The sequence below is a fragment of the Homo sapiens genome, chromosome 14 (assembly GCF_000001405.40).
Source record: "Homo sapiens chromosome 14, GRCh38.p14 Primary Assembly".
Taxonomy (NCBI): domain Eukaryota; kingdom Metazoa; phylum Chordata; class Mammalia; order Primates; family Hominidae; genus Homo; species Homo sapiens.
Genome location: NC_000014.9, coordinates 37612915 through 37640048, shown reverse-complemented (window position 1 = coordinate 37640048; position 27134 = coordinate 37612915). Strand labels below are relative to the sequence as shown.

Here is a 27134-nt window from a genome sequence, read left to right as displayed (position 1 = left end):
GTTACAATAAAACCAGCTAAAGAAATAGGTATTTTCCTTAAGACCTAATATATACATATACATATATGTGACCTAGTATATATTATATAAAAGAAAATGAAGATATATAGATATATAGATATATAGATATATCTTATTTTTCTTTCCTTTTTTTTTTTTTTTTAAGACAGGGTCTCACTCTGTCACCCAGGTTGGAGTGCAGTGGCACAAGATTGGCTCACTGCAACCTCCGCCTCCTGGGTTTAAGCAATTCTCCTGCCTCAACCTCCCGAGTAGCTTGGATTACAGGTGCACACCACCACACCTGGCTAATTTTTTTTTTTTTTTTTTTTTGTATTTCTTGTAGAGACAAATTTAGCCATGTTGCCCAGGCTGGTCTCGAATTCCTGAGCTCCAGTGATCCTCCCTCCTCGGCCTCCCAAAGTGCTGGGATTACAGGCATGAGCCACCGCACCCAGTCACTTTCCATTTTTTAAAAATGAATAAAAATTAAATACATAGCATGTGTATTTACTGAAAGCATCCAAATGTTATGTGAGAACTTTTACATTTACACAGAAAAAAACTATAATTAATTTGGCAATAGAGGGAAACTTCTTAATTATTATATCATTTGTGCTAGCATAAGCTGTTACATCTATGAGGACGACAAAAACTGCATGAAGGGAATGTTAAGAGAAAAGTGTAATAAAAGTGTCTGTAGTTTTCAGTAGAAAAGATTTGCCCAAATGAGTCCCTTCCAATTGTACTGGTGTCATTCAAACAACACAGATTGCTTTTCTCTGCCCAGATCCTGGTAGGTTATTTGATTTATACCTTCAATGTGCAAAAGTATGTTCCTAAGATAGGAAAAGATGAAATTTGAAAAGCAAAGGGCCAAGAAAACATTTAAATACTATGAATTCTGCAATATGCAGCTCCTTAAAAGAATACATAATAAGTTATACATAGCAATGTATGTTCTTTGATATGTACCAAAAAGTTAGTTGCAGAATAATATGTATAGTATGTTCTTATTTTTACAAAGAAAAACGTATTTGTACGTATGTATGTACACACACATTTGTACTAAGAAATTGAGAAGTGTAGAAGGATAAACAACAGTAAGTATTGGTTAGTCTGGGGAGTTGGGGGTTTAAAGAGAATATATTATTTTCATATGTATCTTCTTATAAAAACAGGCACACACTTTTATAAAGAATCTCCTAACATCTTTAATTAAAGTTTTTATTTTGAGATGACTGTAGATTCATATTCAGTTCTAAGAAAAATACAGAGATATCTCTTTACCAGCTTTTGCCAACGGTACCATTGTGCAAAACTATAATACAATATCACAACCAGGATATCAACAGTGATACAGTCAAGATACAAAATGCCCTTTTAAAGCCACAAACACTTCCCTCCCAGCCCCCCCGCCCCCACCCTTAACTCCCAGCAACCACAAACTTGTTCTCCATTCCTGTAATTTTGTCATTTGAAGAATATTATATAGGCCGGGGGCAGTGGTTCACGCCTGTAATCCCAGCACTTTGGGAGGCCAAGGCGGGTAGATCACCTGAGGTCAGGAGTTCAAGACCAGCCTAGCCAACATGGTGAAATCCCCTCTCTACTAAAAATATAAAAATTAGCCGGGCATGGTGGTGGGTCCCTGTAGTCCCAGATACTTGGGAGGCTGAGGCAGGAAAACCTCGTGAACCCAGGAGGCAGAGGTTGCAATGAGCCAAAACCACACCACTGCATTCCAGCCTGGGCGGCAGAGCAAGAATCCATCTCAAAAAAATAAAAATAAAAAAGAAAAGAAAGAACATTATATAAATGTAATCATAAAGTATCTAACTTTTGGAGATTGGCTTTTATTGCCTCAGCATAATTATCTGCAGATTCATCCAAGTTGTTGCAGGTATCAATACTTCATTTCCTTTTCTTCCTAAGTTATATATCCATTTACCCCTTGAAGGACATCTGGGTTGTTGACAGTTAGGGGTTATTATGAAAAAAGCCACTAGGAACATTTGTCTCAGATTTTCATGCAAGCATAAATTTTCTATTCTGAGCAATAAATGCCCAGGAGTGCAATTGTTAGATCACATAGTAGTAGCATGCTTACTTTTTTAAGAAACTGCCAAACTGTTTTCCAGAGTGGCTATGTCATCTTATATTCCTACCAACAACGTATGAGTAATCCAGCATCTCTGCCTCCTTGCTGGCATCTGGTGTTGCCACTTTTTTTAATTATTATTTTAGACATTCTGGTAGTTGTGCAGTGACATGTCACTGTGGTTTTAATTTGCATTTTCCTAATGATGAATGATTTTAAACATTTTTCCATGTGCTTATTTGGCATTTGTATATCCTCTTTTGTAAAATATCTGTTCATGTCTTTTGCCTATTTTTTTCTCTTTTTTTTCCTCAGGACCCGGTCTCACTCTGTCACCCAGGTAGGAGTGCAGTGGCACGATCATAGCTCACTGTAACCTGAAACTCTTTGGTTCGAGAGATCCTCCTGCCTCAGCCATGTGAGTGGCTGGGACTACAGGCATGACCCACCACAATGGTGTCCATTTTCTAATTGGATTTTTCTACTGTAGAGTTTTGAGAGTTCTTTATAAATTCAAGATACCAGTCCTTTACTGAATGTGTGGTTTGCAAATATTTCCTCCCAGTCCACAGCTTGTCATTTCATCGTCTTAACAGGGTCTTTTGTAGAACAAAAAAATTTAATTTGGGTAAAGTCCAATGTCTCAATTTGTCCTTTGGATCAGACATTTGGTGTCAAGTCTAAGGACTCTTAGCCTGAGATTTAGAAGATTTTCTTCTATGTTTTTGTCTGAAAGTTTTATTGTTTTACATTTAAGTCCATGAGACAGATTGAGGTGGGTTTTTTTTCTTGTGGTTTTGTTTTTTGGTTTTTGTTTTTCGTTCTTCTTTTTTGGTTTGGTTTGTTTGTTTGTTGTTGTTGTTTTGCCTGTGGATGTCTACTAGTTCCAGAACCATTTGTTGAAATGAAGTTAACTGCTTCTGCACTTTGTCAAATCAATTGGGCATATCTGTGTGGCTCCACTTCTGTGTTCTCTATTCCACTCTCTCTCCCCTCCACCCCAATATCACACAGTCTTGATTACTATACCTAAATAATAAAGCTTGCAATAAAGTACACTGATACCTCCCACTTTTTTCTTCTTTTTCAAAATTATTTCAACCATTCTACTTCCTCTGCCTTTTCATTAAATTTTAGAAATCTGTTTTTCTATAACTATAATAAAATTTGCTTGGATCAAATGGCTTTAAATGTAATTTTCTTTCAAGTGGATACCATGTTACTTATTTCAGTAAACCAGCCATTATAACATTAGGTGGAAAGTTAGATAATTGATCTGATGCTTTTTCTCTTTCCTAATGTATACATTTAGTGCTATTAATTTTCCCCTCATCATTACTACGGCTGTGGTATACAAATTTTGACTTTTTTTTTACAAAGCAGCTCAATTTTTTTTATTTCCCTGAGACTTCCTCTTTGACCCATGGATTATTCAGAATTGTATTGTTTAGTTTCCAAGTGTTTGAGGATTTTCCTATCATCATTTTGTTATCAATTTCTAGTTTGACTCCATAGGGTCAGAGAATACAGTCTATATAGTTTCAATTCTTTTAGATGTATTAAGGTTCATTTTATGGCCCAAGATATGGTCCATCTTAGTATATGATCCACGGGCAGTTGACAAAAATGTGTATTCTCCTGTTGTTGGGTAAAGTATTCTAAAAATGTAGGTTAGAGCCTAGTGGCTGATAGGGTCCTTGAGTTCTTCTATATCCTTAGAGATCTTCTGTCTAGTTTTTCTACCAATTGCTGAAAGAAGGGTGTTACGCGTTTTTAACTATAATTTTCAATTCGTCTATCTCTCCTTCCAGTTTTTACTTCACATATTTTGTAGCTCTGTTATTTGGTAAATACATGCCTAAAACTGTGATTTGTCTTCCTGGTGTGTTGATCCTTTTACAATATTATAAAGTCCTGTTTGTCTCTGGTAATTTTCTTTTTTTTTTCTTTTTTTTTTTTTTTTTTTGGAAATGGAATTTTGCTCTTGTTGCCAGGGGCTGGAGTGCAATGGCGCAATCTTGGCTCACTGCAACCTCCATCTCCTGGGTTAAGGCAATTCTCTTACCTCAGTCTCCCGAATAGCTGGGATTACAGGCATGCACCACCACACCTGTCTAATTTTTGTATTTTTGGTAGAGACAGGGTTTCACCATGTTGATCAGGTTGGTCTCAAACTCCTGACTTCACATGATCTACCCGCCTCAGCCTCCCAAAGTGCTGGGATTACAGGCGTGAGCCACCGCACCCAGCCATCTCTGGTAATTTTCTTTGCTCTGAAGTCTACCTTATCTGGTATTGATATAGCCACTCCTGGTTCCTCCCAACTAATATATGCATGATATATATTTTTCATACTTTACTTTCAACCTACCAATATCATCATATTGGAAAAACATTTCTCGTAGACAATATATCATTGAGTCATATTTTTAAACCACCTGCCAATCTCTGCCTTTCAGTTGGTACATTTAGACCACTTACAGTTACTGATATCTTAGGATTTAAGTCTGCCACTTTATTTTTTTGTTTTCTTTTTGTTCTTTCTGTTTGTACCTGCCTTCCTATGGGTAACAACATTTTTTAGAATTCTATTTTGATGTGTCTATACTGTTTTTTGAGTGAATCGCTTTGTATACCTTTTTTAGTCATTTCTGTAGATAGTACATGATACCAGTACCATTAGCACGGTCTCCTAGAATGGAAATTGTTCCAATTAGAGTTACACATGAAAACCTTACCTCCCTTTATATCCACTTTAACTCCTCTATCTGTAATTTTCTTAAATATTTCCTCTACCAGCATTTAGAGCCACATCAGACAGTGTTATAATTCTAGCATCAATCATCAAACACAATCTAGAAAACGCAAGAGGAGAAGGAAAATCTATTGTATGTAGCCATAGTTTTGTTTATTATGTTCTTTCTTCCTAGTGCTCCAAGAATTCTTTTTTCTAATCTTTTCTGTTTAGAGAACTTCCTTTACTCATCCTTCTAGGGTAGAACTGCTGGAAAAAAAAAGTCCTACTTTACTTCATCTGAGAATGTGTTGATTTCCCCTTCATTCTTAGGAAATTATTTCACTGGAAATAGAATTCTGGTAGTTCTTTTCTTTCAGCATTTCAAAATGCTGTGTCAATGCCTTCTGACGATAATAGTTTTCAATGAGAAATCTACTCTCAAATTATTTTCTCATATTGGTTAACATATTGTTTCTCTCTCACTGCTTTAAATTTTTGTTTCTTTGACTTTAGTTTTCAGAAGTGTTACTATTATGGATTTTAGTGTGGATTTCTTTGGTTTGGAGTTCACTCAGCATCTTCTTGAATATATGTAGGTTTATGTCTCTTGCCACATTTGGGAAGTTTCTAGCCATTATTTCTTTTTGTACTTTTTCAGTCCTGCCCTCTTTTTCCCCTTCTTCCAGGACTATGATGACACCAAGTTATGTCTTTTGTTTTAGTCCCACAGGTCCGTAAGGCTCTGTCATTTTTTTTCCCTCAGTCTACTGTCTCTGTTTTCAGCTCAAGTATATTGTATTGTTCTCCAAGTTCACTGATTCTTTTCTCTGTCTTCTCCAATCAGCTAATGAACCCATTTGCTGAGTTTTTATTTCAGTTATTATATTTTCCAGTACTAAAAATTTCCTTTGGTTCTTCTTTGATTTTTTTTTCTTTACTGAGACTTTCTACTTTTCTGCTAAGAATTTCTACTTTTCTGTTTGTTTCAAGTACATTCATAATTGCTCACTGAGGTACTTTGGTAGAGGAACTGCTGTAAAATCTTTGTTAGATAATTCCAACATCTCTGTCATCTTGACTTTGGCATCTATTAATTGTCTTTTTTTTCTTTCAAATTGAGATGTTTCTGGATCTTGGCATAATGAGTGATTTTCTATTAAAACCTGGACATTTTGGATATTATGAGAGTCTGGATATTACTTTGACTTTCTGTTTTAGCTGGCTTTCTCTGACACTGCTCTAAAAGAGGCAGCGCAGGGAGGCACTTCCCCTGTTACTACCAACTGGAGGTAGAAGTCTAGGTTCCCACTCAGCCTTTACTGGCACCAGGGATGGGGGCCTCCTTGTTACTGCATGGTGGGACTAGGAGTTTTGGCTCCCCACTAGGCCTCTGCTGATCCCATCCTAGTTGGAAAGAATAGGAGTGTCTCATTACTGTTCTCCACATGGCCTCCATTGACACCAGAGGGAAGAGGGAGCGAGTGGCCTCTTTACTTCTGGACGATGTTGAAAGTTTAGACACTCCACTGTCTCCATCCCACTGGGAAGGGGTAGGGGGAACTTGTAACAGCCCGTTGATACTGGAAATTGTATTAGGCTGTTCTTGTGTTGCTATAAAGAAATACCTGCTGGCAAGATGGCTGAATAGGAACAGCTCCGGTCTGCAGCTCCCAGCGAGATCAATGCAGTAGGCAGGTGATTTCTGCATTTCCAACTGAGGTACACAGCTCATCACAATGGGACTGGTTAGACAGTGGGTGCAGCCCACAAAGGGTCAGCTGAAGCTGGGTGGGGCATCACCTCACCTGGGAAGTGCAAGGGGTTGGAAAACTCCCTCCCCTAGTCAAGGGAAGCCGTGAGGGACTGTGCCATGAAGAACATTGCATTACAGCCCAGATACTATGTTTTTCCCACGGTCTTCGCAACATGCAGACCAGGAGATTCCCTCGGGTGCCTTCACCACCAGGGCCCTGGGTTTCACGCACAAAACCGGGTGGCCATTTGGGCAGACATCAAGCTAGCTTCAGGAGTTTTTATTTCATACCCCAGTGGCACCTGGAACACCAGCAAGACAGAACAGTTCACTCCCCTAGAAAGGGGGCTGAAGCCAGGGAGCCAAGTGGTCTCGCTCAGTGGATCTCACCCCCACGGAGCCCAGCGAGCTAAGATCCACTGGCTTAAAATTCTTGCTGCCAGCACAGCAGTCTGAAGTCAACCTGGGACACTCAAGGTTGGTGGGGGTGAGGAGGGGGCGTTGTCTGCCCTTACTGAGGCACTGATTGAGTAGGAGTTTTTCCCTTCACTGTGTAAACAAAGCCGCCTGGAAGTTCGAACTGGGCAGAGCCCACCACAGCTTGGCTGTAGCCAGACTGCCTCTCTAGATTCCTCCTCTCTGGGCAGGGCATCTCTGAAGAAAAGGCAGGAGCCCCACTCATGGCTTACAGATAAAACTCCCATCTCTCTGGGACAGAGCACCTGGTGGAAGGGGCGGCTGGGGGTGCAGCTTGAGCAGACTTAAACCTTCCTTCCTGCTGGCTCTGAAGAGAGCAGCAGATCTCCCAGTACAGCACAAGAGCTCTGCTAAGGGACAGACAGCCTCCTCAAGTGGGTCCCTGACCCCCGTGCCTCCTGACAGAGCAATACCTCCCAGCAGGGGTAAACAGACACTTCATACAGCAGAGCTCCAGCTGGCATTTGGCAGGTGCACCTCTGAGACAAAGCTGCCAGAGGAAGGAACAGGCAGCAATCTTTGCCGTTCTGCAGCCTCCACTGGTGATACCCAGGCAAACTGAGTCTGCAGCGGATCTCCAGCAAACTCCAGCAGACCTGCAGCAGGGAGGCTTCACTGTTTGAAGGTAAATTAACAAACAGAAAAGAATAGCCTCAACATCAACCAAAAGGATGTCCACACAAAAACCCCATGCAAAGGTCACCAATGTCAAAGACCAAAGGTAGATAAATCCAAGAAGATGAGGAAAAAACACTGCAAAAAGGCTGCAATTCCAAAAACCAGAACGCCTCTTGTCCTCCAAAGGATCACAACTACTTGCCATCAAGGGAACAAAACTGGACGGAGAATGAGTTTGACCAACTGGCAGAAGTAGGCTTCAGAAAGTGGGTAATAACAAACTCCTCCAAGCTAAAGGAACATGTTCTAACCCAAAGTAAGGAAGCTAAGAGCCTTGAAAAAAGGTTAGAGGAATTGCTAACTAGAATAACCAGTTTAGAGAAGAACATAAATGACCTGATGAAGCTGAAAAAACATAACACGAGAACTTCATGAAGCATAAACAAGTATCAATACCCAAATTGATCAAGTGGAAGAAAGGATATCAGAGATTGAAGATCAACTTAATGAAATAAAGCGTGAAGACAAGATTAGAGAAAAAAGAATGAAAAGGAATGAACAAAGCCTCCAAGAAATACGGGACTATGTGAAAAGACCAAACCTATGTTTGATTGGTGTACCTGAAAGTGACGGAGAGAATGGAACCAAGTTGGAAAACACTCTTCACGATATTATCCAGGAGAAATTCCCCAACCTAGCAAGACAGGCCAACATTCAAATTCATAAAATACAGAGAACAACACAAAGACATTCCTTGAGAAGAGCAACACCAACACACATAATCATCAGGTTTATCAAGGTTGAAATGAAGGAAAAAATGTTAAGGGCAGCCAGACAGAAAGGTTGGGTTACCCACAAAGGGAAGCCCATCAGACTAACAGTGGATCTCTCAGCAGAAACCCTACAAGCCAGAAGAGAGTGGGGACCAATACTCAACATTCTTAAAGCAAAGAATTTTCAACCCAGAATTTCATATCCAGCCAAACTAAGCTTCATAAGTGAAGGAGAAATAAAATCCTTTACAGACAAGCAAATGCTGAGAGATTTTTGTCACCACCAGGCCTGCCTTACTAGAGCTCCTGAAGGAAGCACTTAGTATGGAAAGGAAAAGCCAGTACCAGCCACTGCAAAAACATACCAAATTGTAAAGACCATCAACACTATGAAGAAACTGCATCAACTAATGGGCAAAATAACCAGCTAGCATCACAATGACAGGATCAAATTCACACATAACAATATTAACCTTAAATGTAAATGGGCTAAATTCCCCAATTAAAAGACACAGACTGACAAAGTGAATAAAAAGTCAAGACCCATCAGTAGGCTGTATTCAGAAAACCCATCTCATGAGCAAAGACACATATAGGCTCAAAATAAAGGGATGGAGGAATATATACCAAGCAAATGAAAGCAAAAAAAAAAAAAAAAAAAAAAAAAAAAAAAAAAAAAAAACAGGGGTTGCCATCCTAGTCTCTGACAAAACAGACTTTAAACCAACAAAGATCAAAAAAGACAAAGAAGGGCATTACATAATGGTAAAGGGATCAATGCAACAAGAAGAGCTAACTATTCTAAATATATATGCACCCAATACAAGAGCACCCAGATTCATAAAGCAGGTTCTCAGAGACCTACAAAAAGACTTAAACACCCACACAATAATAGTGGGAGAATTTAACACCCCACTGTCAATATTAGACACATCAACAACATAAAAAATTACCAAGGATATTCAGGACTTGAACTCAGCTCTGGACCAAGCAAACCCAATAGACATCTACAGAACTCTCCACCCCAAATCAAACCTATATACATTCTTCCCAGCATCACATCGCACTTATTCTAAAATTGACCACATAATTGGAAGTAAAACACTCCTCAGCATATGCAAAAGAATGGAAATAATAACAAAGAGTCTCTCAAACAACACTGCAATCAAATTAGAACTCAGGATTAAGAAACTCACTCAAAACTGCACAATTACATGGAAACTCAATAACCTGCTCCTGAATGACTACTGGGTAAATAATGAAATGAAGGCAGAAATAAATAAGTTCTTCGAAACTAATGAGAACAAAGACACAACATACTAGGATCTCTGGGATACAGCTAAAGCAGTGTTTACAGGGAAATTTATAGCACTAAATGTCCACAGGAGAAAGCAGGAAAGATCTAAAATCTATACCCTAACATGACGGTTAAAAGAACTAGAGAAGCAAGGACAAATAAATTTAAAAGCTAGCAGAAGACAAGAAATAACTAAAATGAGATCAGAACCAAAGGAGGCAGAGACACGAAAAACCCTTCCAAAAAAATCAATGAATCCAGGAACTAGTTTATTGAAAAGATTAACAAACTGAGTCCAGCAGCACATCAAAGAGCTTATCCACTATGATCGAGTCGGCTTCATCCCTGGGATGCAAGGCTGGTTCAACATACTCAAATCAATAAACATAATTCATCACATAAACAGAACCAACAACAAAAACCACATGATTATCTCAATACATGCAGAAAAGGCCTTCAATAAAATTCAACAGTCCTTCATGCTAAAAATGCTCTATAAACTAGGTATTGATGGGACGTATCTCAAAATAATAAGAGCTATTTATGACAAGCCCAAAGCCAATATCATACGGAATGGGCAAAAGCTGGAAGCATTCCCTTTGAAAACCAGCAAAACACAAGGATGCCCTCTCTCACCCCTCCTATTCAACATAGTATTGGAAGTTCTGGCCAGAGCAATCAGGCAAGAGAAAGAAATAAAGTGTGTTCAAATAGGAAGTGAAGAAGTCAAATTGTCTCTGTCTGCAAATGACATGATTGTATATTTAGAAAACCCCATCCTCTCAGCCCAAAATCTCCTTAAGTTGATAAGCAATTTCAGCAAAGTCTCAGGATACAAAATCAATATGCAAAAATCACAAGCATTCCTATACACCAATAATAGACAAACAGAGAGCCAAATCATGAATGAACTCCCATTCACAAATGCTGCAAAGAAAAAAAAATAACTAGGAATACAACTTAGAAGGGATGTAAAGGACCTCTTCAAGGAGAACTACAAACCACTGCTCAAGTAAATAAGAGAGGACACAAACAAATGGAAAAATATTCCATGCTCATGGATAGGAAGAATCAATATCGTGAAAATGGCCATACTGCCCAAAGTAATTTATAGATTCAATGCTATCCCCATCAAGCTACCACTGACTTTCTTCAAAGAACTAGAAAAAACTACTTTAAATTTCATATGGAACCAAAAAAGAGCCCGTATAGCCAAGACAATCCTAAGCAAAAAGAATAAAGCTGGAGGCATCATGCTACCTGACTTCAAACTATACTACACAGCTACCATAACCAAAACAGCATGGTACTGGTACCAAAAAGATATATAGACCAATGGAACAGAACAGAGGCCTCAGAAATAACACCACACATCTACAACCATCTGACCTTTGACAAACCTGACAAAAACAAGCAGTGGGAAAAGGATTCACTATTTAATAAATGGTGTTGGGAAAACTGGCTAGCCATATGCAGAAAACTGAAACTGGACCCCTTCCTTGCACCTTATACAAAAATTAACTCAAGATGAATTAAAGACTTAAACATAAAACATAAAACTATAAAAACCCTAGAAGAAAATCTAGGCAATACCATTCAGGACATACGCATGGGCAAAGACTTCATGATTGAAACAGCAAAAGCAATGGCAACAAAAGCCAAAATTGACAGCTGGGATCTAATTAAACTAAAAAGCTTCTGCACAGCAAAACAAACTATCATCAGAAAGAACAGGCAACCTATAGAATGGGAGAAAATTTTTGCAATCTATCCATCTCACAAAGGGCTAATATCCAGAATCTACAAGGAACTTAAATAAATTTACAGGAAAAAAAACAACCCCATCAAAAAGGGGGTGAAGGATATGAACAGACACTTCTCAAAAGAAGACATTTATGTGGTCAACAAACATATGAAAAAAGCTCATCATCACTGGTCATTAGAGAAATACAAATCAAAACCACAATGAGATACCATCTCATGCCAGTTAGAATGGCAATCATTAAAAAGTCAGGAAACAGGCCAGGCACAGTGGCTCATGCCTTTCATCCCAGCACTTTGGGAGACCAAGGTGGGCGGATCACCTGAGTTCAGTCAGGAGTTCGAGACTAGCATGACCAACATGGTAAAATCCTGTCTCTATAAAAATACAAAGTTAGCCAGGCGTGGTGGGACATGCCTGCAATTCCAGCTACTCAGGAGGCTGAGGCAAGAGAATTGCTTAAACCTGGGAGGTGGAGGTTGCAGTGAGCTGAGATCATGCCATTGCACTCCAGCCTGGGCAACAAGAGCGAAACTCCATCTCAAAACAAAAACAAAAACAAGTCAGGAATCAAGAGATGCTGGAGAGGATGTGGAGAAATAGGAACGCTTTTACACTGTTGGTGGGTGTGTAAATTAGTTCAACCACCGTGGAAGACAGTGTGGCAATTCCTCAAGGATCTAGAACCAGAAATACCATTTGACCCAGCGATCCCATTACTGGGTATATACCCCAAATCCTTCTACTATAAAGACACATGCACACATATGTTTATTGCAGCACTATTCACAATAGCAAAGACTTGGAACCAACCCTAATGCCCGTCAGTGATAGACTGGATAAAGAAAATGTGGCACATATACACCATTGAATACTATGCAGCCATAAAAAAGGATGAGTTCATGTCCTTTGCAGGGACATGGATGAAGCTGGAAACCATCATTCTCAGCAAACTAACACATGAACAGAAAAGCAAACACCACATGTTCTCACTTATAAGTGGGAGTTGAACAATGAGAACACATGGACACAGGGAAGGGAACATCACACAGCGGGGCCTGTCAGGGGGTGGGGGGCTAGGGGAGGGATAGCATTAGAAGAAATACCTAACGTAGATGATGGGTTGATGGGCGCAGCAAACCACCATGACACTTCTATATCTATGTAACAAACCTGCACATGTATCCCAGAACTTAAAGTATAATAATAAAAATAAAAGATTTAATACAATTTAAAAAAAAAAGAAATACCAGAGACTGGGTAATTTATAAAGGAAAGAGGTTTAATAGGCTCATGGTTCTACAGGCTGTACGGGATGCACAGATCTGGCATCGCCTTCTGGGGAGGCCTCAGGAAGCTAAAAATCATAGTGGAAGGCAAAGTGGGAGCAGGCACTTCACATGATGAAAGTAGGAGCAAGAGAGAGTGGGGGGAAGGGGCCACACATTTTTAAATGGCCAGATCTTGCAAGAACTCTCCCACAGTTGCAAAGAGAGCACCAAGCCATGAGGGATCCCACCATGACCCAAACACCTCCCACCAGGCCCCACCTGCAGCACTGAGGATTAAAATTCAACATGAGATTTGAGTGTGAACAAATACCGAAATTATATTAGAAATACAGGCTCCCCATTCAGCCTTGAGTGGTGGGGTGGGAGTGGCGCCATAGGTTTTTCCGCAGTATTTAGCTGGAGTAACATAGTTATCGTCTAAAAATTTTTTGTCTTGCTAGGCTGCCCCTTTCCTGATCCTTTGGCTAAAGAGCAGGCTTTTGTTGCAGATTTTTCTAGCTGTAACCATTGGCATTCCTATGTATGTTACCAGCTTCTTTAGCTACAAGTCTGGGAGAAATTAGGCAAAAAGAAAAGTCAGAGAATTCACCACCAGTTCATTCCTTGTGTCCCAAAGTCCCTAGATGAGCTGTCTTCTGCTATTCACGTTTTGGGGTCTTCTGGTATTTGTTTTATATATAATGTTCAGGGTTTATAGTTAGTTTTACTTAGCAGGAAGAATAGAGAAAAAGGATATCTATTTCATCTTCCCCGAGGCAAACATAAGCTTAAGTTTTATAACATAACATTTTTGTAGACTGTATGTTATTTGCTTATGGGAGACCTTGGACTATGAATTTTCTCTTATCTAGGTCATATTAAGCCGTTTTCCTTTTGAGTTATATGATCAAAAACAACTACGCATGACAGAAGCAAGGACCACCTGGATACTTCATCCTCCAATTAACATCTGGAAAGTGGTCTGTGAACCCCAGCCACATGTAATTAGAATGTATTTTTGTGACTGATACTATTGAATGTCTTAGCAAAACAAACAAACATTCATAACATTTCTACTTCTCCTGCCATGGTATATGCATACTGTTTAGGTCAGTGGTTCTCAATTGGATAAAAGAGGGTGGCATAATTTTGCCCCCGCCTCAAGGGCTCATCTGGCAACATCTAGAGACATTTTTTATTGTTATGACTTGGGAGGTGCTACTAGTATCTAGTGTATAGAAGCCACGGATGCCTTGAAACATCCTACAATTCACAGGACAGCCACCTTCAATGAAAAATTAAGTGGCCCAAAATGTCAATAGTGCCAATGTTGAGAAATCCTGGTTTAGATGTCTGACATTTGACAGCTAAGTTTAACCCTCCGTATTCTTTGCAACTCCAGGCCCAGGTAACTATGGACCTCCAAGTGCTGCATGTGGAATGTCCTTTCCCAAGCTCTCAACAAAGACAGTCCAGCCTGCTGAGATCATCTTACCTCTCAGCTTCCCTCTAGGGATTGCTATGTGGCTGCAAGTTATGATTTCTAAAGGGAAGAATCATGTTCCTTGTTTTTCCTGGAAAGAACATCATTTACATAAGCCCCAAACGTTTAAAACAAAAGTCCTTATTCGAATCTTCTTAAGAATTTTTAAAATCATAATTTGGACACGACTTTTATACTTGCATACTTACATTCTTTTTTTTTTTTTTTTAGACGAAGTCTCGCTCTTGTCCCCCAGGCTGGAGTCCAATGGTGCGATCTAGGCTCACTGCAACCTCCGCCTCCCGGGTTCAAGAGATTTTCCTGCCTCAGCCTCCCAAGTAGCTGTGATTACAGGCGCCTGCCACCACGCCCGGCTAATTTTTGTATTTTTAGTAGAGATGGGGTTTCACCATGTTGGCCAGGCTGGTCTCGAACTCCTGACCTCAGGTGATCCACCCGCCTCAGCCTCCCAAAGTGCTGGGATTACAAGCGTGAGCCACCGCGCCCGGCCTATACTTGCATTCTTATTGCTATCTCTCACCTACCACCCAGTGCCATTTCAACAAATTCCCCATTGTACATTTTTCACCCTAATAAAACTTCTGAAGCCACTTTTACTTTAAGAAATGCAAGCTCTATCTTCTGGAATTGTTGTGGGGTGGGGGTGTCAAAATTTTAAAAGCCAAGAACGAAATCCAGGCTGCACTCAAAAAATCAAGATAATGAGAGGCAGAGATGGGACTGAGACACCTGATGCTGTCCAAGATACACTTGATTCTAATGCTCCATGATCCATGCCACTCTCCGACATAAAACAATATGTAGGAGAAATGCCATAAAAAGAATACACAAGTGGGGCCGGGCGCAGTGGCTCAAGCCTGTAATCCTAGCACTTTGGGAGGCCGAGGCGGGCGGATCACGAGGTCAGGAGATCGAGACCATCCTGGCTAACATGGTGAAACCCTGTCTCTACTAAAAATACAAAAAATTAGCCGGGCATAGTGGTGGGCGGCTGTAGTCCCAGCTACTTGGGAGGCTGAGGCAGGAGAATGGCGTGAACCCAGGAGGTGAAGGTGGCAGTGAGCGGAGACCACACTACTGCACTCCAGCCTGAGCGACAGAGCAAAACTCCGTCAAAAAAAAAAGAATACACAAGAGGAATTAACACTTCTGGTAAAAGAGCTGAATACACTGCAATGTTCATTATTCATTTAATAGTCTCTCTTCATATATCCCTAAGTCCATTTGAGCCTGTCAAAATACAATCTTTCTTATGGGACCCTGCTCTGAGGTATAACTTTCCTCAACTGTACGGGACCTCTGGACCAGTTTCTAATACCATCCTCTCTTCATGTCAAGTACCTTAACTATGTCGTAGAGCATGGAGCCTATGTCAGAAGTAGGGGCACCGAGGCCTTTCTTCTCTTTGCTAAGGCTCTTCATTGGGCATCCCTGATTTGTTTTCTTATTAGATTCATAGAAAATCTAACTAGAAATACCCATTTTGAAATGGCCTGAGCAGTCACCCTAATCTTGTTCAGTAACAATGGGGAGGTGTGAGTCTCAACTCAGAACATTTGTCATACTCTGCCCACAAACATTAGGCCAAAGGCAACACCAGAGACTCTTGTTCATACCTGTTTTTGCTTCCCTTTATGGTCACATTCCTTAAATCACAGCCAAGAGTGTATTCTGGGGCTGAAACAATTTTAAAGACATAATGCAGTAGCAGTATTCTGTGTACTAATAAGATATTTGTAGCTGCAGCCAAGAACAGTAATAGAATCTTCTTGCTTCTGTCATTCTCAAAAAAGACCGTGTCTCATATTTTTTCTTTCTTTCTTTCTTTCTTTGGGTTTGGGGCTCAAGTTCCCTTGTTACTGCTTTTGCTGTCAATGTCCCTGCCACAGCAAAGTCTGTATAATGGACAAAATATCTTAAACTTAAATATGACCCCATCTAGCTTAGCTTCCTGCCAGGGACAAGTCATAGTGAATCAATGGGCTGTCCTGGGCATGGTTCCAGCTCAGTGTCTTGGATGAGACTGCCTGGGGTGGAATCCCAGCTCTGCCATGCATTAGCTCCAGAACACTGTGCCAATCTTTTTTAACTTCACTAAAGCTAGAAGGCCTCCACGTCAGACAGGACTTTTATTAGTATCTATTGACCTGATAGGGTTGTCATGGGGACAAAAATGCATGTAAAGTGTGTCCCATAGAGTTTGGCACACAAGAAGCACTTACAAATCTCTATGATTGGGAAGACATAGAAAATAAAGTTTTTAAAAATGTTTCAAGAGAATGACTTTCACTGAAAATATAGAATTCTTATAAATAGTAACATGCTGATCTTCTTAGAATATAAATGCACTTTTGCTGTAATTTACTACTAATAATACTAAACTGTAACAGAAAAAAGAGTTTTTCACATAAAATGCCTGTTCCTTTAACACTAAATAATCACGAAACCTTTGAAGGGGAAGGCTCCTAGTGACGTTATTACTGAAGTCTTCAGCTAATGTTCTCTGAACCAGTTTCTGGGATCATGGCTCAGTTTCCTTCACTTTGAAAAGAGGATAAGACAGAAAATTCAAAAATTCAAATGGAAAATTCAAACAAAATGCAAAGAAGTTGAATAACACCCCAGTGTTTTTGTGTTATAATACATGACACCTTATGCACTGAAATATTATCCATAATAAACTACTCTTACATATGTAATGTAACCCAAATTGCATTTGGGAAAAATGTTACTCTTGTTTTGGTTCACCTACTTCCATTGTAATGTCGTAGTTCTGGCCAAGGACGCTCCGTATGAGCTCTTTGATGGTCTGGTCGGAGGCCAGCTGGGCCTCGGACTGCAGAGAGGCGATGATCTCTTCGATGGACGTGGGGATCACGCGGGAGGGCAGCAGCGCCTGCCAGGCGGCCTCCCGCGCGTCGCTGGGCGGCCAGCTCTCCTGTTCTCCCTGGGCTCCTAACCCCGCCGCTTCCCGCGCCTCGCGGGCCCCGCTCTCGCTCACGAAGTTGCTGCGGATCCTCACTTTCCTCCGCCCGCTGCTGGCCTCCATGTAGCCGTCCTCTGCGGAGACGGAGCTGGCCTTCCTCTCTTTGGCCATGCAGGGCCCTGCGAGAGGAGCTACCTCCTGGCTCTGTTCGCGCTCCCTTCCCAAGTGGAAGACCCGCCTGGGAGCCGCGTGCCGCGAGCTCTCCAAGACCCCGCGCGCTCTGCGCTTCACGGGTGGCTCGGGCGGAGGCAGCAGGACCACGGGTCTGGCCGTGCCGAACCCCGAGGCGATGACTGGGGGCTTTTTCAGGGCCTGGTGCCGTAGGAACGCGGAGCTCCGCAAGTAAAAGTCCCGGGGGCGAAACGACCGGGTCTTGCCTGGAGCCGCCGCCTCACCCAGGCCCGAGGGACGCGGCGCGCCTCCGAGCACCTCCTGCAGGAGGGCGGCCGCGGACATCGCAGGGCCTTTAAGCGAAGGGTATCTTCTCGACGTCCGGGCTGCGGCGCAGGAAACGCGCGCGGGGCGGGCCGGGCCGGGGGCATGGAGGCTGTGGACTGGGCTTTCATCTACAGCCGGCTTGGAGGCCAACTTCTGCTTGAATCGGAGAAAATCCTTTTTAGTTTCCTGCCGAACTTTCTCAAGCTCTTTAAACATATACGATTCCTCTTTGTATTTCAGGCCAAAGTGTCTCGGGATTGTGGACATCTTGACAAATTTGACCTGTAAAGTAAGCCCCCAAAACAATCACATATGTTGTGTGCGTATATACATAAATATAAAACAAAACTGGAATAAAATTTCAGCTCAGCAAAGCTTCTCATAAGAGAACCTCACCGTGCTCCCTGAGGCACAAGCGGGTAAAATTATCATGTAATTTTATATCCACCTATTGGCCCTTTCACAAGAACCATGAAAAACCTCTAAAACAGTCATTTTTTTCGGTGGAGGCTTCCCAAACCCCTATTGGATTTCTTTTAACATTTCTTTAGACTCTAATTAGTAATGTTCCACTTCCAGGCAAGCAGCATCATACTAAACATAGCTTAGAAAATCCCCAGGACCCCTGCTACAACAGAATAAAGGTCACAAACTGTGGCCTGAGGCCTGGATCATTCAGCCCATATAGTTCAGAGTATTTCAACAATTTTTTCTTTTTTTGAGACAAGATCTCGCTCTGTTGCCCATGTGACTGGAGTACAGTGGCATGATCATGGCTTAGTGCAGCCTCGGCCTCCTGGGCTCAAGCGATCCTCCCACCTAAGCCTCCTGAGTAGCTGCGACCAAATGTGGTACACCACATCCAGCTAATACTTTAATTTTTTGTAAAGACTCAGTCTCCTTGTGTTGCCCAGGCTGGTCTCTAACTCCCTGGGCTCATGCCATCCTCCCACCTCAGCCTTCCAAAGTGTTGGAATTACAGGCATGAGCAACCATGTCTGGCTTACTTCCACAATCTTAATTCATAGCCAGCTATTTTAAATTGGAAGATTTTCATAAACCAATTCAGATTTGCAGTTTCTCTGAAAAAAAAGAAAAATGAAGGGTCTGTCAGTGCAAGGGCCAAATCCCAGTTCTTGTGGCTAGACAGCTGTTTCCCCTTCTCTCTCCAGCTGGTCCCAGGTGTCCCCTTCCTTACCCAGCTCACTCCCTCCAAGTGTCACCTGAGCCACAGCAGTGTGTAGGAAGGGAATGGGGGAAGCCTCAGAGCAGGCTGCAGCTAGATTATGAGGCCTTCAGTGCCACTCTCTGTACTTTTTCTGTGAGCTACTGGAAACCACTCAAAATTTTTAGCAGAAAAGTAACTTGATATATTGACTAGAAGAAAGAATAAAGGCTGGCAGGACAAGTAAGAATCTGGTAGCTGGAGCCTGAGTCTGACCTTGATAATGAAGCACAGTAAAAACAGAGACAAAGCAAGGTAAAACTGACAGGACCTGGCCAATGATTAGGAATGAATGGGAGCAATGAAAGCTCCTTCAAAAAATAGGGACTTTGAGTCAGCCTAATGAAGTCTTAGTCATAATAAAACTTCTGTTATTCACTGAACTGTACACTTTAAAATGGTAAAGAGGACAAATTTTGTTATGTGGATTTTAACTACAATTTTAAAAAATTCTGTTATTCAGCAGGGCCAGCTAGCTATGATCATAAGTAGATTTTGAGATCTTGAAAGATCATTACACAAAGCCAGGCTAGCAGTAAATATAAATAGGGAACCGATGGCAGGTTCTGTGGCACACTTACCTGTGTGAGGCGGGAGGGGCAAGAGTAATCAGAGAGTTAGAAAAACGAAGAGGACAGTGTTCCACAGAACACACCAAGAGGAGCATTTCAAGAAATCAGGGTAAAACAATGAAAGTAAAACAAAATACAATGAACTAGAAGTCTTTAGAGAATACCTAAGGTCAAGTTTCTTTGAAAATAAATAAAACAGTAAGGCAGAAACACCTCTGGAATGTCATCATTATTTCCAGATATGATTATCTACTGAAAACACAGACACTAGAACTCTAATAGGATTCTGCAAGAGATTTGAATTTAAAATATATATATATGTATATATCCCCCAATAATTTCTTTGTACCAAAATGGTCCTATCAAAAACATAATGGACTCTAGCCTGGGCAACAGAGCCCCTGTCCTTATTTAAAACAATTTTTTTACTATAATGGTAAAATTTCATTTGTAATATTTTTTAAAGTAAGTATCTAGGCATAAACCTAACAAAAAAATGTACTGAAACTAGGTGATTAAATTTTTAAAATTTTACTGAAGGACATTGAAGAAAGATTCAACTAAATAGGAAGTTAATGTTCCTTGATGGAAAGACCAAATATTTTAATTATATCAGGTCTTCCCAAAATACTGGTTTGGTTTCATGCCAGTGCAAAACTCTGAAAATGATATTTTGAACTTTGAAAGGTAATTCTGAATTCATTTGAAATAATAAACAGGCTGGATTAGCCAAAAAAAAAAATGGAAAACATAAATGACAAGGGAGCACTTGTCCCTCAATGAAGAGCAACCAGATAAATAAAAGGTTTACAGATAAAAGAATTAGAACTGAAAAACTGCTGCTAAAATCAATAGCTACACTGAGAAAGTGAGAAAAAGGATTAAATATAATATTAGTTATATTATAAAGGCAGCATTAAATTGATGATAAAAGAATTTTTCAATAAATTGTGCTGAGACAACTGGACAACTATTTGGTGCAATTTTTTGGTGTATTTCATGACATGTACCCAAATAAATCCATATGGACTTAAAACTTAAATGTGGAAAATATATTTTTATTTTACTTTGCATTTTTATCACTTATCTACATTTCTTAGTTGGACTCATATCAATTCATGAAATAATTATCTTTATAATTGTAATTATTCATTTATCATGATGTTTGATAGTATGAAGAAAATCTCCTGTTTATCCCCCAAATATAGTCGTATTGCGTTTAACTGAAGACCCTGCTACACGAAGAGCTCATCATATCTGGGAATCAATAGGCTTTCTTTCTTTACCTAGCTCCATGACTGACTAGACCTTGGACAATTCAATTCTATCCATACCAAGGGTTCATATTAAAAAGTGAAAATAATCTGTTGCCAGTTTTCCAGGCCATAGGATATGAACATTAGAAATTATTTCTAAAGCCCTTAAGCAAGTTTCCCTACTTTAAAAAATGCTGTATAATCCCCCCGCCCCGCATAGTATTTTGGCTCTTATTGTTTGCACAGGTGGCAATATGTTCATATCAACACTATCTGCATTTCTTCCTGCAAAAGGTTGAAAGGTAGTAACTGGAACAGAGCACAGACCAGAAGTACATTAGTACCTGATGAGAATCTGACTTGACTCTCCCACTTGCACTTCCCTTTTATTTCTTAGTTCCTGCTTTCCCACTTCTCCCAGGCCTTTGGTTTGCTATTGAAGTTTAACAAGTGTTCATTGTTTAACACTTCTCAGTACATTCCCATGAGTTCTTAACAGGAAAGTTGCTCTTTCTATCTAAAATTAAACCAACAGGAAATAGAACTTCTAAATTCAACAGGAACTTCTATTGTGCGTTCAAGATGAGTGGTATACCAGTGCTTCATGGGCCAGTCCATCAAAGCTAAGTGCCTTTATTCCCCCACCCACTCCTACAACACAAAATACATAAAATGACTTTTAAACATTCATTCTCATGAGAAAATAGCATGTTCTCTTTTTCATAGGAGCAATTTACTAAGAGAGACTAGTTCTAGTTTGGCAATACCAAGGGAAAAATAATGTAGTTGTCTCTAAAGGAAAAAGTATTCATCTACATGATGTGTCAAATAGGCAGCTCACAAACCAGGTTGATTATGTTTACCCTACACTTTAAAACGGGACAGAATGCTCTTAAAATCTGTCTATGCCTTTTCCTTTCTCTTCTGCCAGAAGGTTCAAGGCCTGAGCAGTGAAGCAGTCAGAAGGGTCAAGAGCCAGCCTTTTCTTCTCTCTCACAAGACCAGGTCAGCCATCAGAAGAAAGTTCTCCAGCCAAAAATGGCTAAAGACTCAGGCAGGGCTGCACACTTGAATTCTCTAGACCATTGCAGGTTACTCTCTGGTTCTTGCAGTTGTGTCTATTTCTCCTGTTGGAACGGAAAATCCAAAACTTTGCTCTAGACTGTAACTAAAGTCAAAATAAATGGAGCAGATTACCACATGACTTGGTTCCAAGCTACACAAACCCACCTCAAAAAGGGAAAGCAGTCTGCATATGTTAGGCCTAGCTCATCAGAGTATTACATTAGGAATGGGCCCAGAAAGTAATATGAATTACCAGACCTTGACCTCTTCCTATATGTAGTCAGGGGACCACACTGAGAAGGATAACCTTTTAAGAACAAGATTTGGGTTTTCCTAGGTCCATAATCAAATATCATCTCAACTGACATACCTCCTAAACTTCAGGCCAATGTCAATTTCCAATGCACAGTACTAAAGTTCCAAAAGAAACTTCTTAACCCAAGGACAATCTATCTCATTTAGTAAAATCTTCAGCCTTGCAAGGAAAACAAAAATATTCTGAAAACAATATTTGCTTCTGAAATATCAGTGGGAGAAATGAGATCTGTTTGTGTCCTCATTGTCATTTACCAAAAAAAAGCCTCAAAAGAAATATATAAACATATTAATAATTTTGCTAAGAGAATGGGAAAACAGTGATTTTTTTTCTATTTTTCTGCACTTTCTATACTTGTTTAGCTGCCTTTAATCCTGTTAATATCAATAATAGTAAAAACCACTTACATGTGCTCATTTAAAAGGATATAGAAAATAGAGAAAAAGCTATTTTTCAGGCTCAGAAGAGGTTTCTCTCTGAGCTATTCAAAAGCTCACAGAAATTTCAATAACTATAAAAGCTCAGCCCTTTATAACAGTCACTTAGAATATGCCTATATCCCTTGTGAATATACTTACATTCAAAAATACATACATATATAAATACATAACAGCTAATGAAACAACAAAATACTCCCCTGCGTTTTTCTTCTCCCCACTTTCTATCTTCACTTCTTGGACTCCCTTTAATTGCTTAAAAAGCCAAAATTTAAAAATAAAATGTGGCCAGGTGCAGTGGCTCATCTTGCAATCCCAGCGCTTTGGGAGGCCAAGAAGGGAGAATCGCTTGAGCCCAGGAGTTCAAGACCAACGAAGGCAACATAAGGAGACCCTGTCTCTACAAAAAGTAAAAAATTAACCGGGCATGTTGGTACATGCCTCTGGTTCCAGCTAGACAGGAGGCTGAGGTAGAAGGATTGCTTGAGCCCAGGAGGTCAAGGCTGCAGTGAGCCATCATTGTGCCACTGCACTCCAGCCTGGGTGACAAAGACTCTGTCTTAAATAAAAATAATTTTTTTTAAGAATAAATAAAAATAAAATGATGCGTGTGTATGTTTAATGGTCATTGTACTTTTGACATGTTAAAATATTGCCTGCTGTCAGTTTCAAAAGCAATTTGTTGGAGAGCCATAGATGCATCTTTTTTTTTTTTTTTTTTGAGATGGAGTATCACTCTTCCGCCCAGGCTGGAGTGCAGTGTTGAGGCAGAGTATCACTCTGTCGCCCAGGCTGGAGTGCAGTGGCGCGATCTTCGCTCACCGCAAGCTCCGTCTCCCGGGTTCACGCCACTCTCCTGCCTCAGCCTCCTGAGTAGCTGGGACTACAGAGACCCGCCACCATGCCTGGCTAATTCACAGATGCATCTTTACAGATCAATTCCTCACAGCAACATATAAAGTCTGGAGAAATTTTTTTTATTGACCTAAGAATTCTTCAGAGTAAACAAAAGCAGGAAGATTGTAGAGGAAAGTCAACATTTGTGTAAACTGGCCTGGAGAGAAGTTTCCAGGTTTATTGTGGTTTTTCTTCAAACACAGTCCATAACTGCAGAAATGGCATAGTGCAAGTGTCAAAAACATTGATAGGAAGCCCTTCATCATTCTAGCCAGAAGAATCAGGGAAAGGAGCCCAGACAACAAACATCACTGAGAAGTGAGAGAGAAATTCCAGAAGGAAGAGACCCAGAGAAGATAATCCCCAAATTCTATCTAAACCCCACACGTCTCCGACTGACCTTTGATTCACGTATATGCAGGACAAACTCAAAGTAGCACAGTAAAGGCTTAAAGAGCTGAACTGAACCACCAACCACAGAGTAAGACAAGACTTACAGTGAGTTTAACTGACTGGTGAAATGCCTGCTAAATGGAAAATAACAACATTCTTCAGAAAGGATATGACAGAACCTAGACTCTACATGACAAAACATTCACAATGTCCAGGATATAGTCCAAAAATACTTGGCATGAAAAGCCTTGGGAAAATTGAATCATTCTCAGAGGTAAACATAATAAACAGATTCCAGTCCAGAAATGACTCAGGTGTTGAGATTATTAGAAAAGGACATTAAAGCAACTCTTATAACCATGCTCAATCAAGTAAAGGAAAATATGCTAGAGATTAATAAAAAGAAAAAGAAAATTGAACAGATCCCAGTCCAGAAATGACTCAGATGTTCAGATTATTAGAAAAGGACATTAAAGCAACTGTTATAACTATGCTCAATGAAGTAAAGGAAAATATGCTAGAGATTAATAAAAAGAAAATCTTGGCAAAGAAATTAAAAAAATAAAAATAGAAATTTTATACCTGAAAATATATTTTCAAAAAAATTTGATTAGGAAAATGGAGATGTCAGAGAAAAGAGTAACTGAGTTTAAAGATAAATGCACAGAAATTATCCATTATAAGAAAAGACAAAAAAGAAAGCCTGATATCCCTGTAAGGATAATACCAAAAAGCGCTAACATTCAGATAATTAGTATCCCAAGGAAAAAGGAGAATGATTGCTCCACTGCACTCCAGCAGCCTGAGTGACAAAGAGAGAATCTGTCTCAAAAAATAAAAAATAATTATGTTTGAGAACTTCCTAAATTTGAAGAAAGACAAATTTATAAATTCAAGAAGCTCAGTGAATCTCAATCAGAATAAATGTAAAGAAAATCATATGTAAGGTGATGAAAAACAAAGACAAAGACAAAATTCAAAAGCAGACAGAGAGAAACAACACATTATTGACAGGGAAACAATAATTCAAAGACCATGGACTTCTCATCAGACACCCCTAAGAACAGAAGACAGGGAAACAGGATTTGTAACATGCTAAAAGATTTTTTTTAAATGTCAACCCAGAGCAGGTGCAGTGGCTCATGCCTGTAATCCCAGCACTTTGGGAGGCCCAGGCAGGCAGATATCTTGAGGTCAGGAGTTTGAGACCAGCCCAGCCAACATGGTGAAACTCCATCTGTACTAAAAATACTAAAGTTAGCTGGGCATGGTGCTGGGCAGCTGTAATCCCAGTTACGTGGGAGGCTGAAGCAAGAGAACTTCTTGAATCCAGGAGGCAGAGGCTGCAATGAGCCAAGATTGTGACACTGCACTCCAGCCTGGGCAACACAGCAAGACTCTGTCTCAATAAATAAATTAATTAATTGATTAATTTAAACTGTCAACCAAGTATTCTATACCTAGCATGCATATTCTTTTTTAAAAGGTAAACAAAATAAAGACATATTCAGATTAAAAAAAAAAAACCTAAGAGAATTACTCACCAGCGGATAGGAATTACAAGAAATGCTAAAGAATGGTCTTCAGGCAGAAGAGAAATGATACCAGAAGGAAATTTAAATCTTTAAAAATGAATGAAGATGAGAAATGTCAAATGTCTGAGTAAGTGCATGAAGCTATTTTTTTCTCTTAAGTTTAAAAATAATGTACGAAAATTATGATATTGTGTTGTGGGATGTTTATGTAGGTAGGTGCAGTACATATGACAACCAGAACCAAAAAGACTGGGATAGGTGTGGGTAAAGGAACTATATGGTTGTACAGTTTCTGCATTTTATGTGAACTAGTTCAATATCAACTTTAAGTAGACTTTGAAATGTTAAGAAGGTATATTGTAATTACTGGAGAAACCATTTTTAAAGTAATACAAAGAGGTGCAACTAAAAAGCCAATAGGTAAGGAAATGAAAAACAAAAGATATTATTAAATCTTAAAAAATATTTTAGACTGAATAATAATGAAAACACAACATATCAGAATGTGTGGGGTGTAGCTGAAGCAGTGTTTAGAAGGAAACTTATACCCTAAATGATGAAATCAAAAAGAAGAAAGGTCTAAAATCAATAACCTAAAGTTCCATATTAAGAATCTAGGAAAAGAAGAATAATGCATACTCAAACTAATGGAAGGAAATAATAAATATAAGGATATAAATCAATCACATGGAAAACAGAAAAAGAATTGAGAAAATTAACTAAGTCAAAGGTTGGTTCTTTTAAAATCTCAACAAAATTTAAAAACCCATCTGGCTAGCCTGTTTAAGAGAACGAAAATCACCAATATCAGGAATGAAAGAGGATTTCACTATAAAACCTAAAGATACTAAAGGACAATTTTAAAAATGTGATAAACAACACTATACCAACAACATCTAACAATTTAGATGAAATGGGCAATTCTGAAAACTACAACTTACCAAAATTAACATAAGAAACAGGAAATCTGAATAGCTCTATATTTTTAAAAAATTTTATCTGTTATCAAAAAATCTTACCACAAAGACAATTCCAGCCCTGGATGGTTTTCTCAAGTATTCAAGAAAGAAATAACACCCATCTTACATAAATTTCTTTCAGCAAATAGAGGAGGGAGGAAAATTTATTTTATGATACCTACATAACCATAATACTAAACCTGACAAAGGCATTTTTTAAAGAAAGAAAATTACATACTAATATTCCTTATGCGCATACATGCAAAAATCATTAACAAAATATTAGCAAATCAAATCCAAAAATATATTTTTGAAAAGGATAATACATTTTGACCAAATAGAGTTTATCCAAGGGTTGAAAAATTGATTTAAGTATCTGATTTTATTATATTTATTTGCAAATCAATATAATTCACTATATTAACAGAGTACATGAAAATATTATGATTATTTTGGTAGTAAAAAACATTTGACATAATTCAACAACCATTCAGGATAAAAATAAATTAGTAGCTCTAGGCAAACTGTGAATCATAGAGAACATCCTCAATCTGATTAAGAGAATCCTCAAAAAATTTACAGCTAACATTATATTTATGCTTTCCCCCTAAAATTGGAAACAAGGAAAAAATGTCTCACTCTTTTCATGCATATCCAACATCATACTGAAGGTCTTAGCCATTGCAATATGGCAAGGTAAAGAAATAAAAGTAATAAAGATTGAAAAGGAAAAGGTTAAAGCGTCCCTATTTGCAGATGACA

The 27134-nt window shown here is 39.4% G+C and overlaps 1 protein-coding gene across 12 annotated transcripts in view; it reads right to left on the bottom strand.

Moving 5' to 3' along the window:
* Positions 1-27134, bottom strand: part of TTC6 (tetratricopeptide repeat domain 6) — a 247089-nt gene that overhangs the window by 202669 nt on the left and 17286 nt on the right. For 10 of the 12 annotated variants that reach the window (XR_007064009.1, XR_001750287.2, NM_001310135.5 and 7 more), the window contains one exon: positions 17046-17999. The exons of the other annotated variants lie outside the window; for them this stretch is intronic. Coding sequence is in view for 8 of the 10 variants with exons in the window: in XM_017021254.2 (XP_016876743.1) it covers positions 17046-17999 (954 nt within the window). In the remaining 2 variants the exon portion in view is untranslated. The remainder of the gene's footprint in view (positions 1-17045; positions 18000-27134) is intronic. 12 annotated transcript variants of the gene reach the window in all.